The sequence below is a fragment of the Homo sapiens genome, chromosome 6 (assembly GCF_000001405.40).
Source record: "Homo sapiens chromosome 6, GRCh38.p14 Primary Assembly".
Lineage (NCBI taxonomy): Eukaryota > Metazoa > Chordata > Mammalia > Primates > Hominidae > Homo > Homo sapiens.
The window spans coordinates 12222319-12239769 of record NC_000006.12 but is presented as its reverse complement, the minus strand read 5'-3'; the positions used below and the strand labels follow the sequence as shown (position 1 = coordinate 12239769).

At 41.4% G+C, this 17451-nt stretch overlaps 1 protein-coding gene across 1 annotated transcript in view; it reads right to left on the bottom strand.

The window, feature by feature from the left end:
* The window catches only part of EDN1 (endothelin 1), a 66679-nt gene extending 57425 nt beyond the window's left edge, over positions 1-9254 (bottom strand). The window contains exon 1 of the mRNA NM_001416565.1: positions 9096-9254. The gene's annotated coding sequence lies outside the window, so the exon portion shown is untranslated. The remainder of the gene's footprint in view (positions 1-9095) is intronic.
* Positions 9255-17451: the final 8197 nt, after the last annotated feature.

Below are 17451 nucleotides of genomic sequence, written 5' to 3'. Positions count from 1 at the left end.
GCCCAGCTAATTTTTGTATTTTTTGTAGAGACCAGGTCTCCCTATGTTGCCCAAGCTGATCTCAAACTCCTGGGCTCAAGCAATTCTCCTGCCTCAGCCTCCCAAAGTGCTGGGATTAGAGGTGCGAGTCACTGCACCAGGCCTGTTCCCTCTATTTTCAACAGAGGATTTTTACTTTATGGTCCAAAATGGTTCTTCTAGCTTAAGCCATCATATTTAAGTTATTGCAGGTAGGGATGAGAAAAGAGGCAGGAGAAGGGCCTACCCCTACCCCTAAAAGATAGATCCTGGAGCCTTACACATTTCTTTTGTTTATATCCATTGACCAAAGTGTAGTCACTTGGCCGTATCTGCTGGAAGGCGGTCAAGAAAATGTAATTTCTTTTAGGTGGCCATGACCTAGCTAGCATTTTGAGGCTTTATTATAGAGTCAGAAAAAGGAACAAGAACATCCAAGTATAATTAGCAATCCTATTATGTTAACATGTGTATTTTTAAATGGGTTTATGGAGACAGACAATTACTATGGAGAGTGTAATATACATCACAGCCAGAAAGGAACACGAATGATTGAGGCAACATTCTCCAAGCAATGCTGCTTATCTCATTTGCCCTGTGACAACTCTGGGCCCAGAATTGTCACAGAACCCAGAACTGAGGTTCTTCAGTCAACTTGTAATGAGGCCCACTGTGTGCCAGGAACTGGGTATTCACAGGACTTGCTGAAAGTCTGCCTAATTTATACTGAAGAAGTTGCTATAAGTTGGAATTTTATTCCAATAACTAAAAGATCCATTGAGAAGAGCTAAACTCACCCAACTGATATAACACATGCAGTTTTTCAAACAATTGGCGTCAGTGCTGTATATATTTATACACCAATCCAGAAATAATCTACCGTATGGTTCTCATGTAATTTCTAATTCATCTTCACTGGGAAATTGGGATGCCTTTGGTCAAGAGGAGCTAAAGGAAATGCTTGGTTGCACAGCCTGCCTGGGTCCTATTCTTTCACTTTCCTCTTTGATTTTGATTTTGTGGCTACAATGGTGGTTTTCTTGCATCAGCTTACAAATTGACTGCAAGGGAAGAATTCTCCATCTCTCTTCCTACGATAACTAGATGTCCATGCTTCAACCACAGCTGCATCAGCCGTGGTTCTAAGCGAGGACAGCTGGCAGTCTAAGGGTTGGATTGGTTAACCTTGGAAAGTGCTTCCCCTCCGCCTCCATACATTTCACAGCTGGTTCTCTGACAAATGCGCTCTGACCAACCTCCTCATTGCATAGAGGTCACTGAGTCTGTGGCTCTTCCTGTCCTATGGTGCCTAATATCCCCCTCTTCTGCAGCCACTTGAGTGGGAGTAGAGTGGGCAGGGGAGACCTTCACTTTCCCCATGACGCAGGACTTGAGAAATGACTCCACTGGGACAGGGACTGGCCTTATCATGGCACAAATGTGCTATCACACCCCAGAGGAACGCCTACATCCCCTCAAGCCCAAACTCCCACGAAAACCAAATCACAAAGAAATAGAAGCACGGACTTAAATTGGTTTTCTGCTGCATTTTGGGTTTCCCTTTTTTTTTTTTTTTTTTTGAGATAGAGTCTTGCCCTGTCACCCAGGCTGGAGTGCAGTGGCGCCATCTCAACTCACTGCAACTTCTGCCTCCCGGGTTCAAGTGATTCTCTTGCCTCAGCCTCCCGAGTAGCTGGGATGACAGATGCCTGCCACAGGCCTGACAAATATTTTTTGTGTTTTTAGTAGAGACAGGGTTTCACCATATTGGCCAGGTTGGTCTTGAACTCCTGACCTCAAGTGATCCTCCCACCTCGGCCTCCCAAAGTGGTGGGATTACAGGCGTGAGCCACCGCGCCCGCTGGGTTTTCCTTTTTTAAGGCCTGAGATTGATTTCCATGTATTAACCTTTGAGTACATGAGAAATGCCCATTCTCAGACGATGCAGTTTGGGAGTGTTAAGTCACTTTCTATAGTAGAGACAATTCTCTGCACCAAGAATAGAAGTATATGAAACATTCTTCAACTGGAGCTCGGATCCCATAGGACAACAGTGTCTGTATAGCATCATTATAAAGCACAGGCAGCCCCGGAGTAGCAGGTCATCATATGGTCCTAGGATGAAAACCTCAGTCGTTCAGCAGATTATGAGGAAAGACACTAGGAGTTCCACTCTCTCATTCCAGAGCAAAGTCAGAATCTCTTGCTTACTGATGTCCCTCACAAATTCTAAAACACAGCAATATGTTTTCTCATGCAAGCATTTATCAAAATTTACCACATTTATAAAAAAATTGTAAGTTTACAATTTTGTAAGACTTTTTGGTCTTCTCTTCCAGCCTAGGTATCACTTTCTCAGGACTATCTCCGACCTGAAAACCTCTTTATATTCTTTGAGGTTAAAAGGTTTTATTTTGAGATAAGCGTGGATAATGTTACTCAATCTTTGTTCCAGTTAAGAAATACTGGCCTAATTACATTATTCACAATAGCAAAGACTTGGAACCAACCCCAATGTCCATCAATGATAGTCTGGATTAAGAAAATATGGCACATATACACCATGGAATACTATGCAGCCATAAAAAGGATGAGTTCATGTCCTTTGTAGGGACATGGATGAAGCTGGAAACCATCATTCTGAGCAAACTATAGCAAGGACAGAAAACCAAACACCACCGCATGTTCTCACTTATAGGAGGGAATTGAACAATGAGAACACTTGGACACAGGGTGGGGAACATCACACACCGGTACCTGATGTGGGGTGGGGGGAGGGGGAAGGGATAGCATTAGGAGAAATACCTAATGTAAATGATGAGTTAATGGGTGCAGCACACCAACATGGCACATGTATACATATGTAACAAACCTGCACGTTGTGCACATGTACCCTAGAACCTAAAGAATAATAATAATTAAAAAAAAGAAATATACTTGATAGAAGTTAAGAAGTAAAAGTTTCCTAACAAAAAAAAAAAAAGAAATATTGGCCTAATTAATTAGAAACATACTTGGACTGTCACTTGAGCTTACTCAGGATAAGAGATTTATAATAAAGCACTTAGAATTTTACCAGTTTTTTTCCTAATTTCATCTTCCATATCAAATATTTTAGGAAAAATGAATTTATATATAAAGCTCCCTTTTTAAAGTGAAAATCTACTTTTATTATTAATTGTTTGGCATCAGGGCCAGGCACGGTGGCTCACGCCTGTAATCCCTGCACTTTGGGAAGCCAAGGTAGGTGGATCACCTGAGGTCAGGAGTTTGAGACCAGCCCAGCCAACGTGGCAAAACCCCATCTCTACTAAAAATACAAAAAAAATAGCCTAGTGTGGTGGCACACGCCTGTAGTCCCAGCTACTGGGAAGGCTGAGGCAGGAGAATCACTGGAACCTGAGAGATGGAGGTTGCACTCCAGCCTGGGTGACAGAACGAGATGCCTTCTAAAAAAAAAAAAATTGTTTGGCATCAAAATTACTCATTCACTGGAAGCCATTAGAAAATGTACATTCAAATTTATTCTATTATTGAATGGAAAAACCTACAAAGTGAGATAATACTTTTCTTTTTATTCGCAACCAAGGAATCAGTTTTATTCCCATGGAATCAAATAGGGATTCCTTTTCAACTATTCAGTTGAAATAAGTCAAGAAACAATTCAGTTATCTCAAACAGAATACAGTTTAAAAAGACTGACATACCATTATTGTTATGAAATCTTGTATACAAGAAAAACATGGAGAAACAATCTTTTGAAAGTCTGCTTGTAAAGCCAGTATTCAGGATAGCCCTGTTATGATGTACGCTTTGTGTCTCAGAGAAATCAGAATGTCTGCAACAAAGGCCTATGTGATGGCAATATTGCAGAGCTGCACTGTCCAATATGGTAGACACCAGTCACTTGTGGCTATTTAAATTTAAATTAATGAAAATTAAATAAAAGTAAACACTTGGTCCAGTCTTACTGGCCACATTTCAAATGCTCAATAGTCACCTATGGCCACTGCAGAGCACAAGTAACATTTTCTACATTGCGGAAAGTTCTGTTGGACAGCTCTGTTTTAGAGTCTACTGTAGTACAGATTATCTGTTAAAAGAATGGCTCAACCAATAGCGATCTCAAGTAAGAAATTCGGAGTGAGAGCACAGGAAGGAACTAGAATGGGAGAGGCTTTGAAATGAACAGGCACTGTCTTGGCATTACATACTAGCCATTCAAGGGGAGACCGTTCATGGCAGTGCTTCCTCTTTTCATGGTACTTTTTGTATTTCTTTTTGGTGTATGGAGAGTCAGGGAGTTATGAACTATATGGATTTATCTACTTTGGAAAAACAGAGAAGCATATATTCCCGATAATCATTGTCCTTAGACATGTTAGTAAACATTGCTATGTGGAAGTCACCATGTTACCAAAATTAGCAGCAGATTCAGTGGAGAATAGGAAGGAAGCCTGAGCAGGACAGACTTTCTAAGGAAACGGAGAAAGCTGAGGTTCCTGCCTCACATTTTCCATACAATTGCGCTGTACTTTAGAACCATCTACCTCTTAGTGAAGTCCAACCCCTATTCTACGAATGAGAAAATGGAGACCCAGAGACAAAGAAGTGACTTACCCAAGAACACTTATGGTATCACTGGAACAAGACCAGGGGCGAGATCTCCCTTCTAACATGACTTGGCCCACATTACTACTACTCACTTGCCAAGCAGATACTCCAATCCTCCCCTTCAAACAATGAATATGATAAAATCATCCTTTTAAAGAATAACTGAATTTCAGTTCAGGAAGCACTGTAATTGTCCAAGTGAATGTTTGTCAAATATCTCTTTCTGGTTTTGTTTCTTCATGAATGATCTAGAGTCTGGTCACTTGCTGTCTGGCCCATCCTCAAAAGCCAAACTTTCTCCTAAACTCTGGCTATCTCAGTAGGTCCATGGACACCAATGAAGTCCCCATCTCTGAATGCAAACCTTCCTGATCAATGTAACCTTGGAGAACAGGTTAATTCTAGCACCTTGAGTGAGTTCCAGGTAGGATTCTGGCAGTTCTGGTTGGGTTTGCAGCCAAGAGCCAAAATGCCCCAAAAGAGCCTGAAGTGGACCCTGGTCTTGGTCTTGGCCTTAGAGGTCAGCAGAGCAGTGTTTAACAGCAGAGACTTTTGCTTCAGAAAGACTTGACTTCCAAGTCAATCCAAGCCCAGCCATTTGTCTGTGACTGGACCACTAAGTGACCTCCGCCTCCGTTTCCTCACTTAAAAGTTGAAGTAATAAGAAACACTTCCCTGTGGTTTTGAAAGGATTAAGTTGGCTACTTACTATACATATCTAGCATAATGTGTTAGTGTCAGGAACATGGGATTCACCCCATGAAAGGGGATGTCATTGTTAACTGGTCTGAGAACCCAGAGAAGCAGCAGAAAGACACCTTGGGGGTTCTTGCTTCCAGGCAGCCACCTGGGAGTCAGTTTTCAGATCCTGGCTCTCTACTACCAGCTGAGGGAGCATTTCCAGTTTCAGCTCTCAAATTGTGCCAGTTTAATAAATGCATCAGACCACAAGGTGGTGCTTGATTCTAAAGTTTGATATCAGGAGGCTTTTCTAACCACAAAAGTAGTGAATAGCAAAGTGCATTCAACATTGTTAACAAGAGCCAACTTCCTAACCCTGATACAGATGTATAGGTGGGCTCCTGGCCTCTCTGACTGAAGACCAAGGAGTGTGAGCCACACAAGGAGCATTTGGCATGTGAGGGGGATGGGGAGAGCCTCAGCAAAGCTGAAGCCTTTATTTGGTTTCTTTTCCTACAGCATTATGTAAACTCCTGTCAAACCTACACTTGTGCTGTGTGGTTGTCCTCCAATTTCTGTATTACTCAGGCTCCCATGAGCAGCAGTTCAAGGAGTACAGGGAGGAGGAGCGGAAGAAGGGTGTTCTTGGGACATCAACCCCAAGGTATTTCAAAGCCCACTTCCTCTCGTAGTGCAATGACTGATGCCTCCAGCTATGAGTACAGGTCATGAGGCTCTGTATGTAAAGCAGATGTCACCCCTTTTTATTTTCAACATGCCAGCGTGATGCCACTGGGTCTTGGTGAGTTGGCATCACACACATCATCAGCAGCAATCTTGCCCATGCGGTCGGCTCTGTATAATAACATCTGTATTATAATAATAATAATCATAGTGCCTTAGGTAGGTAGAGCAGCTTGAATTGTCCAAAGGACTTTGCAACCAATTTGCAGTTATTATTGACAGAGCTTTGGTCCTGGTGCAGTCGCTACCTGGACATGACCTTGGGCAATTTCGTGAATTCTGTTTACCTGTAAAATGGTGGAGGAAGAAGGCGGGTAGACTAGATAATTTCTACAGTCCTCTTTAATGCTAGAATTCTGTGAATCAGTCTTGTTTTTCCCTCAGAAGAAGTTCTCCATCCATGAACATTTAGGCTTTAGGGGATGCTAAGAGGGATTTAGGGGGAACCCCTGATGAAAACAAGCAAAATGGAAAAGATCAGGAAAAGGTAGGAGGACAGAGCTAGGAAGGGCTAGGCTTGGAGACAGAATAAAAGAGCTGAAAAGGACTCAGGACCTATAACTTTGGATGAAGGCAACTGAAAGGCTTTTGTGGGAAATACCCCTGTAAAGGAAAACAAAGAGAAAAAAGAGAAAACTTAAATCTGCTGGGTTTTCTTTGGATCCAGCCAAAGGATTAGCTCTAAGATTGTTTTCTAGCTGATCCTCTGATAACAGCTTTCTAAAGGCTTGTGTAGACATCCCTTCACCAAATTTTTTGACCTTTTAATCCTTCTGAAAGTGACCTGTCCCTCTTTCTACTAATGAGAACAGAAAAATAAAAGAAAGTTTGCCAGTCGTCTTTTCAAGAACATTTTGTTGATTTTCTCATTGATGTGAAGGCTGTACCCAACAACCTTTCATTATAAGGTAACCAAAAGGTATATGCATGAATCACAACAGCTACCGTTCATAAACTATACCACTAATTCATAGTTTGCAACATTTTCCTTTAGTCTATTAATACTTTGAGTGAAAGAATCATTTAGGATCAACTTTATTTTAATAGATGCAATTTCATCTTAACTAAGACATTTATGCATTTTTTTCCTTCTAATAACGAAACCACTAACACTGCGGTAAGGCAGAGGAAATGAAAGATGAGTTTGACAGCATCAGGCTGCTTGGCTCAGAGAAAATACAAGATTGCTACATTCCACAAGTTACTGAATTTGGGGGAGCGCTGCATTTGTCCTCTTGAAATGATCTGACTCAGCTTCTCTGAATTTTATGAGTACCCTGGTCATGTCATCTGGGAATCATATGACCCTTATTTATTTGATACTGGACATTTTATTGCTTGGTGAAAAAAAAACCCAATAACTAAAAATATGAACAGACTTCCCATATGGTGATCTAATCAGATATATGTATTGGTAGAGACTATGATCGTGTTACCATATAAAGTGTATATTATAATTATATGTTTTATATTTTATTATATAAAATTATAACATATACTTTATTATATTATATTATAAATATAATATAATATACACTTTATTATATTATATTATAAATATAAACACTTTATTATATTATATTATAATTTTATATAATAAAATATAAAATATATAATTATAATATACACATTATATGCTTCATATTAAGAGATTATATAAAAATGTGAAGAACTGGTATCTCTTAGGAAAATGTCAACATTTTACCCTTTCTTTTATTTAATCTGAATGCTAAAAAAGTCTTTATGGTTTTAAGTCTATTGTTTTTTGGTTTTTTAAAAACTTGTTTTACTAGGTAATAACCAGGAAATTATGACAATAAAGTTTACCTCCCTTAGAAAATCACCGTTAGGTGACTTTATCCACAGTCATCACTGAACACATTAAATTTATACAAGAGATGGAAGCTTATTATAAAGAAAAATTACCATTTATGTGTAACTTGAGTGATATCTGAGTAAAAACTAAAAAAAAAATCAGACAAGAATATTATTTCATGAAAATGTCAGGGTTATAGTGTCTTTCAGTTTCACCAATTCCTCTCTGTTTAATAAAATAAATTTATAGCTTTAACCTACAACTCTGCAGACAACCATGTGTTTGCTTTTGAAATAGTTGTCTAAAAAGCTACTGAAATATTTCCATTTTGCTTCTGTTCAGAGCACGACCCTGGAAGAATCTAGAAGTCAAATTACTATTTAGTTTTAGTAGAAGAAAAAAATAATGTTTAATAGTCAAAGCTGGGCAGCAAATGCATATGGGAAAAACAATAAAACGTGTCTTGAATGGATTTCACTCCATATGAGTTTCCTTTTCCATTGCTTTTCAAATTTGTTTCATTCCTTTAAGTTGATGCTTTTATCTTTTCCTGTTAAGCATGGATTTGACTTTTGATTCGTTGAATTGCAGTGTTGGTGGAACACTGGTTTTTACAATTAAAAATGCCAAGCAAAAAATGTGGCTCCCAGGAGCCCTTCCTGGTCAGTGGTGTTCAATCACCCACTCCTGGCAGAAAGTAAGTGCTGCGGAGAAGCAGGAGTGCCAGGGTTAGATGGCTGAAAGTTCACAGCCAGTTCTGGGCTGTTAATCTCACGGCTTATTGTTTGGTTATAAATCTATTTTTTATTAAAATATAATTACACTTACATAGTAACAAGGCTTGTATATTATGGCAAGTCATTTTTCACAGGGAGAGAACTGCAGACAGATTGCTGGAGATGCAAGGAATTATATTTCTCCACCTTAGGCCAATGAACTACTGTTTTGGTTCTGTGCCTTGGGCAAATCATTTTCAAAAAAGTCTCCTGAGTCTCCAAAAATCTTTCACCCTTTCTTTCTTCCATCTGCAACAGACCCCGTTACTTAATAGAGAAGAACAAATACAGTCAATTCTCATTATTCAGAAGTTCCGTATTTGCCAATTCACCTGCTTGCTTAAGTTTATTTGTAACCTCAAAATCAATATTCATGGGGCTTTCAGAGAGATTCATGGACATGCAGAGTGGTGAAAAATTCGAGTTACCAACCCACACGTTCCTACCTGAGGTCAAACAAGGTGACACTAGGCCTTCTCGTTTCAGCCCTTATCCTGTAAACAGGTGTCCTTTTTGCCATCAATTTTGTACCACGTTCTTCACATTTTTATGCTTTTTGTTGGTGGTTTCACTGTTCAAAATGGCCCCTGAGCACAGCGCTGCCTGGTGTCCCTAAATGCCAGAAGGCTGTGATGTGCCTTACAGAGAAAATACATGCGTTAGATAAGCTTCATTCAGGCATGAGTTATATGGCCGCTGGATGTGAGTTCAATGTTAATGAATCAATAATATATGTTACATAAGGTGTTTTTCAACAGAAATACACATAAAACAAGGTTATGTATTGGCCAGTTGACCAGAGGTTTGCAGGAACCTAACCCTATTTTTCTCCTAGGAGCAATGTAGTTCAGTATTCACTCATTCAGTGTTCGTAGTGATCCTGTAGAACATAACTGCAATGAGAATAATAATAATAGGAATCTCATGAATAATAAAAATCAATTGTAATTACCATTGGTAGCTCTTGTTTCCCAAAATGCATATACCTACATTTTTTCTAACGAAGGAAATTATTTGAAAGAAGATAATTCAAAGAAGAGAAATGAATACTTTTATAAAGAGAGAAAATGTAAGATGAAAAGTAAGAGGACCTGGGGTTTATTGAGTTTGGAGAAGAGACATCTGTGAGTCTTTCTGATCTCCATTTTAATCAAGGCTCAAACAAAGCACAGACGATCCTCCCCTAAAGCAGGTCTGATTGTGTTTGAAAGCAGGGGGCATTTTATTGGTCAGGGTGACAAAATTTTGGAACATGGAGTTTCTACCCCAACCAGCTTCAAAAAAAAGAGAGATAACTGACATTAATTTACAAAATTGCTTACCTGAACTTAAGAGTTCTAAAACAGACAGTCAGACTGGCTTTTCACAGCTCTGGGACCCTGTAAATGGCATCCACCTGTCAGAGGCTCTGCTAAGTTAAGAGACAAGGTCTGCAATTACAGAATGGTTTTCCCCAGGAAAGAATTAACTAGTTTGAATAGGCCCATATAGGGATTACAGCTAAGCCATTGGCCATGTCCTGACAAATATTTTCCAGACTGTGTTTCCTGAAAAGTAAGGTGGGTCGGGTTTTATTTCACTAGGGTATATGTGCATGGGTGAGTGGAAAGGAAGATAAAGGGGATGTGTGGGTGTGAGTGTGTGTGTGTGAGTGTGTGTAAATGTAATGATACATCTTTTCTATATTCATGTTTCAGGTTTTTTTTAAGAACATATTATTCATCATTTTGTTCTTATCTCTGTAGTACAAGGATATGGGATTTGAAATCACACCAAGTGCATTTGAAGCTCACTTGCGTGGTCTTGGATAAGTTACTTAAACCTCCCTACCTTCAGTTTCCTTATCTGGAAAACAGAATACCACGTTGACCTTGCAGGATTGTTTAACAGATTCTCCCTCTAGTTCAAGCTGCTCTCACGGTGTTCTGTCTCTTACTTGTCCCCCAGTATGCGTTCTTTCACTAGTAAAGCGTAAATTCCACCAGGGCAGGTACCGTGTCTCTTTTCCTCACCATGTGTACCCCCAGAACCGCATGTACTGGTGTGCCTCTTGCATAAGCAGGAGCACAATAAATGTCTGTTGAACGAACTTCTGTAAGAGAGTCACTGTTAGGTTAAAGTTCTTCAAAAGTGCATCGCTGCCCATAGAGCAAAGTTCAAACTCCTTAGAGTGCCATAAAAGCTGTTTTTGAGTCAGCTCCTGCTTACCAAGATCTAACTCAGCTCTCGGCACCCTCCTCCCTCCTCCCAAGGCTTCTGGGCATGCCTGTGCAGGTGGCATCCTACAGGAGGGCTCCCCGACAAAGGCTCATATAGAGGCTGACCTCAGCCTCCTGGTGCACAGCGGAGAGACTCAATCATCCCAGAGGAAGTCTCTTTTTTCTCATTGGTTGGCCTAGAGAGGGGACGCCCTTCTGCAATTTATTCACCTCGAGATGAGAAGTTTCTACTTTGCACAACAGCCCATGCACAGAGCAGCATCTGTAAGCTTCAGCCATGCAGTTTCGTTTCCAGTACCCTCAGGCTGCTCCAAGAGCTCTTGCCTCTGGGCTTTTGAAGCGTTGCTCTTTCTTTACCTGGCTAAATACCATTTCTCCTTCAGGTTTCGGCTTAAATATCACTTCTTCCCCAAAGCCTCTCTGACCCCCAGGATGGTTACTGGCCACTCAGCACGCCATGCTTGCCTCTTTTCTAGCATTCATTCATTTACCCACTCACTTATATAATGATTATTTATTAAGCGCCAGCCAGAGTAAGGTGCCAGTGTATGGCAGTCCACAAGATGGACACAAGTCCTGTCTCTTGGAGCTAACAAAACATCAGCGAAGACAGGCATTAAATAAATCACTACACTTGGCCAGGTGTGGTGGCTCACGCCTGTAATTCCAGCACTTTGGGAGGCTGAGGTGGGCAGATCACTTGAGGTCAGGAGTTTGAGACCAGCCTGGCCAACATGGTGAAACCCTGTCTCGACTAAAAATACAAAAATATTAGCCTGACATGGTGGTGCATGCCTGTTATCCCAGCTACTCAGTAGGCTGAGGCAGGAGAACACTCGAACCTGGGAGGCGGAGGTCACAGTGAACTGAGATCACACCACTGCACTCCAGCTTGGGCGACAGAGCAAGACTCCACCTCAAAAAAAAAAAATTACTGCACCAAGAAATGTTTTATCTTAATTCTGAAGAGGCTCTAGGATGCAGTGGAAGTGTGTATCAAACTGGAGTAAGAGAATCACCCTTTGAGACTGTTTTGGAATTTTCTAAGTTCTTGTCTGTCTGCCTTCTGGGCTGTAGCATGCCTGAGCTCTAAATCTCATTTTTCTGAGTTATAGCCCCAGAGTTTAGCATAAGACACTCAATATGCACTCCATAAATTATAAATATTGCCGATATAAATATTACCATCTTGGAAATAGTCTCTACAAAGCTGTGTACTTTCTCACCTGTGACGAAACAGATTTTGAAGTACTTCTGTCCACAATTTTTATATGTCTCTGAATAGAGACAGTTAGTGGGGTGCACGTGTGGGAGAAGTCTTATAAAACTTGGGGCATTTTCTTTTTTAATATCTAGCCCCCCTTTCTTCCTCCTCCTTAGGAGGTATGAATCCTTCCCTGCCCCTCATCCCCCAGGCCTGAAGAACCTTTCCCCTTCCAACCCTCTCATAACTGGCTGCCACCATTTATGCCTTGCCTGAAGCTCATTCATACCAACTTGTTGATTCCCCCTGGTAGCTGCATTTTTAGACTTCTTTTCAATATCTAGCATGAAAGTTTGTATGTTCTGTAAAAGGAATGTCATGTGACTATGAAAAGTTAGGGGCACTTGAGATACGGGGCTCAGCATTGACATGTGAACTTCATTGCCTCACAAGTATTTGTGTTGTCATTGTGTGACAATACTGAGATATGTTACATATATTCTTTTGCATGACCCAAATACTGCCAATAATAAAATGTTTTTCTAGTTTTAATTCTTATTTAATATTCTCTTATTTTTAATTGACAAATAAGAATTGTATATATTACAGGCCAGGCGTGGTGGCTCACGCCTGTAATCCCAGCACTCTGCGAGGCTGAGGCGGGAGGATCATGGGGTCAGGAGTTAGAGACCAAGCCTGGCCAACATGGCGAAACCCTGTCTCTACTAAAATACAAAAAAAAATAGCTGGGCATGGTGGTAGGCATCTGTAATCCCAGCTACTAGGGAGGCTGAGGCAGGAGAATCGCTTGAACCCAGGAGGCAGAGGTTGCAGTGAGCCAAGATCGTGCCACTGCATTCCAGCCTCTGCAACAGGGTGAGACTCCACCTCAAAAAAAAAAAAAAAAAAAAAAGAATTGTATAAATTACAAGGTACAATAAGATGTTTTGATATATGTATACATTGTAGAAAAATTAAAGCTAATTAACATGCTAATTAACCTCACCTACTTACAAATTTTTTAGGGTGAGAATATTCAAAATTTACTCTTTCAGGTAAACAGGAGAAATAAGTGTTAGGGATCTATTGCATAGCATGGTGACCATAATTAATAATGATGTATTGTATACTGCAAAATTTCTAAGAGTAAGTTTTTAAACATTCTCACCACATAATAAAACTTTTAAATAAAAAATTACTGTTACTGAAGGCAAACTTGGTTAAACCAAGTTAAGATGAAACTGGTTTTTAAGAGGTTGAGGAGTCCTGAGTTGAAGGTACTACAAAATAGCTGCATGAGTTTCTCACCCTCTCCGTTACCACTCCCTTCCCCTTTGCTCACACATACCCAGGGATCCAGGGATCTAGGGCTCCTGGGCTATGGTGCCATCTGCCTTTGTATGTCCCTATCTGTGCTCCTATCTTTGCATCGGAATTTTGTCTTCAATCCTGCAGCTTGGCAGTTATGCTTTATGGCCCCAGACAGGCTGCTGACAGCACCCTCTAGATTCCCGAATCCCTGGGGAGCATGGACCTTATGGATGGGTGAAGAGTGTGTGTGTGTGTATATGCACATGCTTGTGTGTCCATGTGTTGGGGAGTCGTATTCAAGAAGATGGGTGAGAAGGAAGGACATGAGAAGATACCAGGGTCCTCAACTCCGGTTGCAAGGAAGAGCATTTCAGAACTAGGGCATCCCAACTACTTGGGGAGTAAAACTGAGAGTCTAATGATCTGTGTGCTCATAGGGGCTCCTGGAGTCAGTAAAGATCTTGGACATTGGTGCCAGTTATAAGCATCGAAGGAGTAATTGAAAGAGAAGAGGGCCAGGTGTGGTAGCTTGCACCTGTAATTCCAGGCGTGAGCCAACACACTTGGGGAGTTCAAGGCAGGAGTATTGCTTGCAGTCAGGAGTTCCAGACAAGCCTGGGCAACATAGTGAGACCCCTTCTGTAGAAAAAATTTAAAAAGTAGCCAGGCATGGTCATGCACGTCTATAGTCCCAGCTGTCAGGAGGCTGAGGCTGGAGGATTGCTTGAGCCCAGGAGGTCAAGGCTGCAGTGAGCTATGATCACACCACTGCACTCCAGCCTGGGTGACAAAGTGAGACCCTGTCTCTGGAAAAAAAAAAAAAAAAGAAAAAAAGAAGAGGAAATACATTATTTATATGCACAAATAATATGCCAGTCATATATGCCTATAATGTATCAGAAGAAATGTACTATAAATTATATTGGAGTAAAACAGCAAACTCTATTCCCATTCATGAAACATACATCAATAAACAGAGCAGAATTAAACATGGGCTACATCAGACTTTGAGTCAAAATATTTGGCCACAGTGGAGAAATACCAACCGCAGTTTTGCCTTGTTTCCTAAAGAGATGATCTTTCTGGAGGGGTTTTCTGAGATGAGGGGTTTCTCCCCTTTTCCCTTCAGTCTCCTCAGCCCCTTCTTCCTCCCCTTTAATACTTATAATGGTGAGAGTCTGTCAGGAATAACTCAAACAATGGATGACCTCAGAGAGTATAAGCATTTAGCGAGAACATCAGGTAGAGAGAGGGCTCAGGGAATAAGCCTAGCTGCAAAGAGTGAGGGGAAAGAGAATGAGAGACACACTTTTTTTGCTATTTTCAGCATTCGAGAGGGGAAAGTCCCACAGTAGAAGAGAGAGCCTGCAACAATGGAAGAAGGCTGCAGCCTGTATAAAAAAAATATTTTTACATGTGTAAGACATGCAGTTAAAATGTGCACACACAAATAAGCCAGAAAAAGAGCCATCTGACTCAATAATTAGTGTAAATATAACACTAATTTTAGTCCTGTGTGAAATTCCTCAAAATTTGTGATTAAATAACATGCAGTACAACCCATTTGTTCTTCAGCCAACATATACCAAGTGTTAATTGTGTGCTAGGCATTGTGCAATGTGCGCTCTTGCCCTCATGGATCTGACAGTCAAGTGGGCATGACAGTCGAATCAGGGAACTGCCCAGGAGAGAATGTGAGGCTGCACCTTTGATGGAGAGTTCCATGGTACCAGAGAGCATCTCAGAGTGGGATATACTCTCTTAGGAGGAACAGGAAAGGCTCTGAGAAATCTCTCCTGACAAATTATGTTTCTTGAGAAACAAAAATCCTACGGTTAAGATTGCTATTGCATTTAATAACAGTTGGAATTCATATTCCCTGGACCTCTGTTCTAGTTTGGCTATCACAGCGATGAGCCTGCCAGGTGAATTGAGCAAGTTGGGAACTTATTGTAAATGTCAGCTTCTGGCTTCTTTCAAATCACTCAAGATTTAAATATCAAAGATGCAACTTCAGGACTTTCTCTTTTCTTCTAACTTTACATGCAATGTCTGGTTTTGCTCAATTGTCTACTTATTTACCCATCAATAAATATTGAGCTACAGACACTGTACCCTATGTTAAGTGTTCAGAGCACAGAGGCTAGTTAGAGATACCAGGGTGTTAGGAAATGTATGAAATGAATATATAATTACAAATTGCAATGACTATTGCTTTATGGGTCAAAGTTTGTAATTATGGACAACAGGATACACTATAGACAAATTAAGCAGACAGGCGTGCATTAAGAGTACAGCTAGCTCCATATTCTAAAGAGGCCTAAAGAAACAACTCTAGGCCAAAATTCCAAGATCATCGCCCCCAACTATTGCAGAACTAGGCCACCGAGGGAGCTCCTGCCCTTGTTAAGGAGAGAATCTCACATCCTCTGCCAGGACCCCGGCCAGTCAGATGAACCCCTCTATCCAGCTCTCTCTCACCATGTAGCAGCATGTCTAAACCACCTCCCACAGGTATGTCTGATGGGCAGAATCTCAACCATTTCTAGAACCCAGCTGCAATGGAGCCTGGGAAAGGCAGTTTGAGTCTTAGGCCCTGCCTTCGAGAAGGAGACTGGAATGCATGTTAAGGGAGCCCCACACAGTTGGCTACGGCCTCCGAGGGAAAGAGCAGGGAACTGACAGAGAAAAATAACACCAGGCATCTGCTTTAGTTTGAGTAAGAGAACAAGGCCATTCCTAGGAAGCAGCTTTTAAAGTCAGTGCAGAGGAAGGAATAGGATTCAGTTCATCAGTGTGTGCAAAGGCCCTGAGGTAGAATTTGACAGTGAGAACACACAGGAAAGTGAAGGAGGAGACTACGTGGGGAACATAGAGCAAGGCCTGAGAAGCTTGGAGAGGTGGAGGGGCTGATTGTTCAGGACCTCATGCTTTATTCTACCTGCAGTGAGAAGCCCTGAGGGGCCTTGAAAGGGGGATTTGGGTCTACGTTGTCATTAACGCATAGCCGACTAAATATGCTGTAATTCATTGTTAATGCTTTCTTCTGCAAGAAGCAAGATATGTGACTAAAAGGGCCCTAGAGAGAAGCAATTCCAGATTGGCTCAGTCATTCAGTGACTCCTGGGCCCTGGGGCAGCCTCTTCGTGGTCCTTGGTGCTGCTCCCACAGGTTCACAAGACTGTGGTTGCAGTGCCAAGTATCACGTGCTCCCTCGAACGAAGGCAGGGACCGGAAGAAACCTCTCTTTGAAAATTGGGGAAGAAAACCTGTTTTCCAGAAACCTTCACATTCCTTTGCCCAGGATTGGGTGCCATTCCTCTGCTGAGCTACAAACACACCAGGAATGTGATTATCTGAGATTTTCAGATTCTACAGTGGGAGGCAACCAGTGCCGAGAAAGCGTGGCTTTCGATAGGGAACCACAGCAAATGCCAGAGCTGTATTTTATCACAGCCATAAACTCCACACACACTCATGTCATCCACACAGAGCGAGCACAGCCTCGGAAAACACCCAGAACAAGACCAAAGTGAGTCTGGACTTGCCCAGCTAGAGAACACTAGAAACCCTAAGGCATGGAACGGGATGTCTAAAAAAAATCCACACTTGTATAAATCAATCAGTTTTTCCTCGGCAATTGCACTACTTAGAAACTTTGTTTATAAATGTATCGTTAGCATATCCATAGCACGATAAAACCCTAATGACAAGGTGCTTGTAGTATATACCAAGCCTCGCCATCAGACACAGGCCCGGGCAGGGTTAGGCTTGCCTGTGTCTACCCAGAAGCCACAGATAGATAGACTCCCGTCAGTCCTCCTACATTAGTGCTTGGCCATTTGCACACATGCGAATAAGCCTGATGTTCTTCCCCCTCTCTGTGACAGGGTGCCAGCGTCAGAGGAGTCTACCTGGATTGTACTCTTTGTAGTTGGTGTTACTACAGATCAATCATTTCTCTTTTTCAGACCAGGAACAGCATTTTACTTTCCTTATCTAGTTCTATTCTTTCATCATCTCAGAAGAGTTCCAAATTTCTCCCTCCATCAAGTAAGGGGCTAAGTC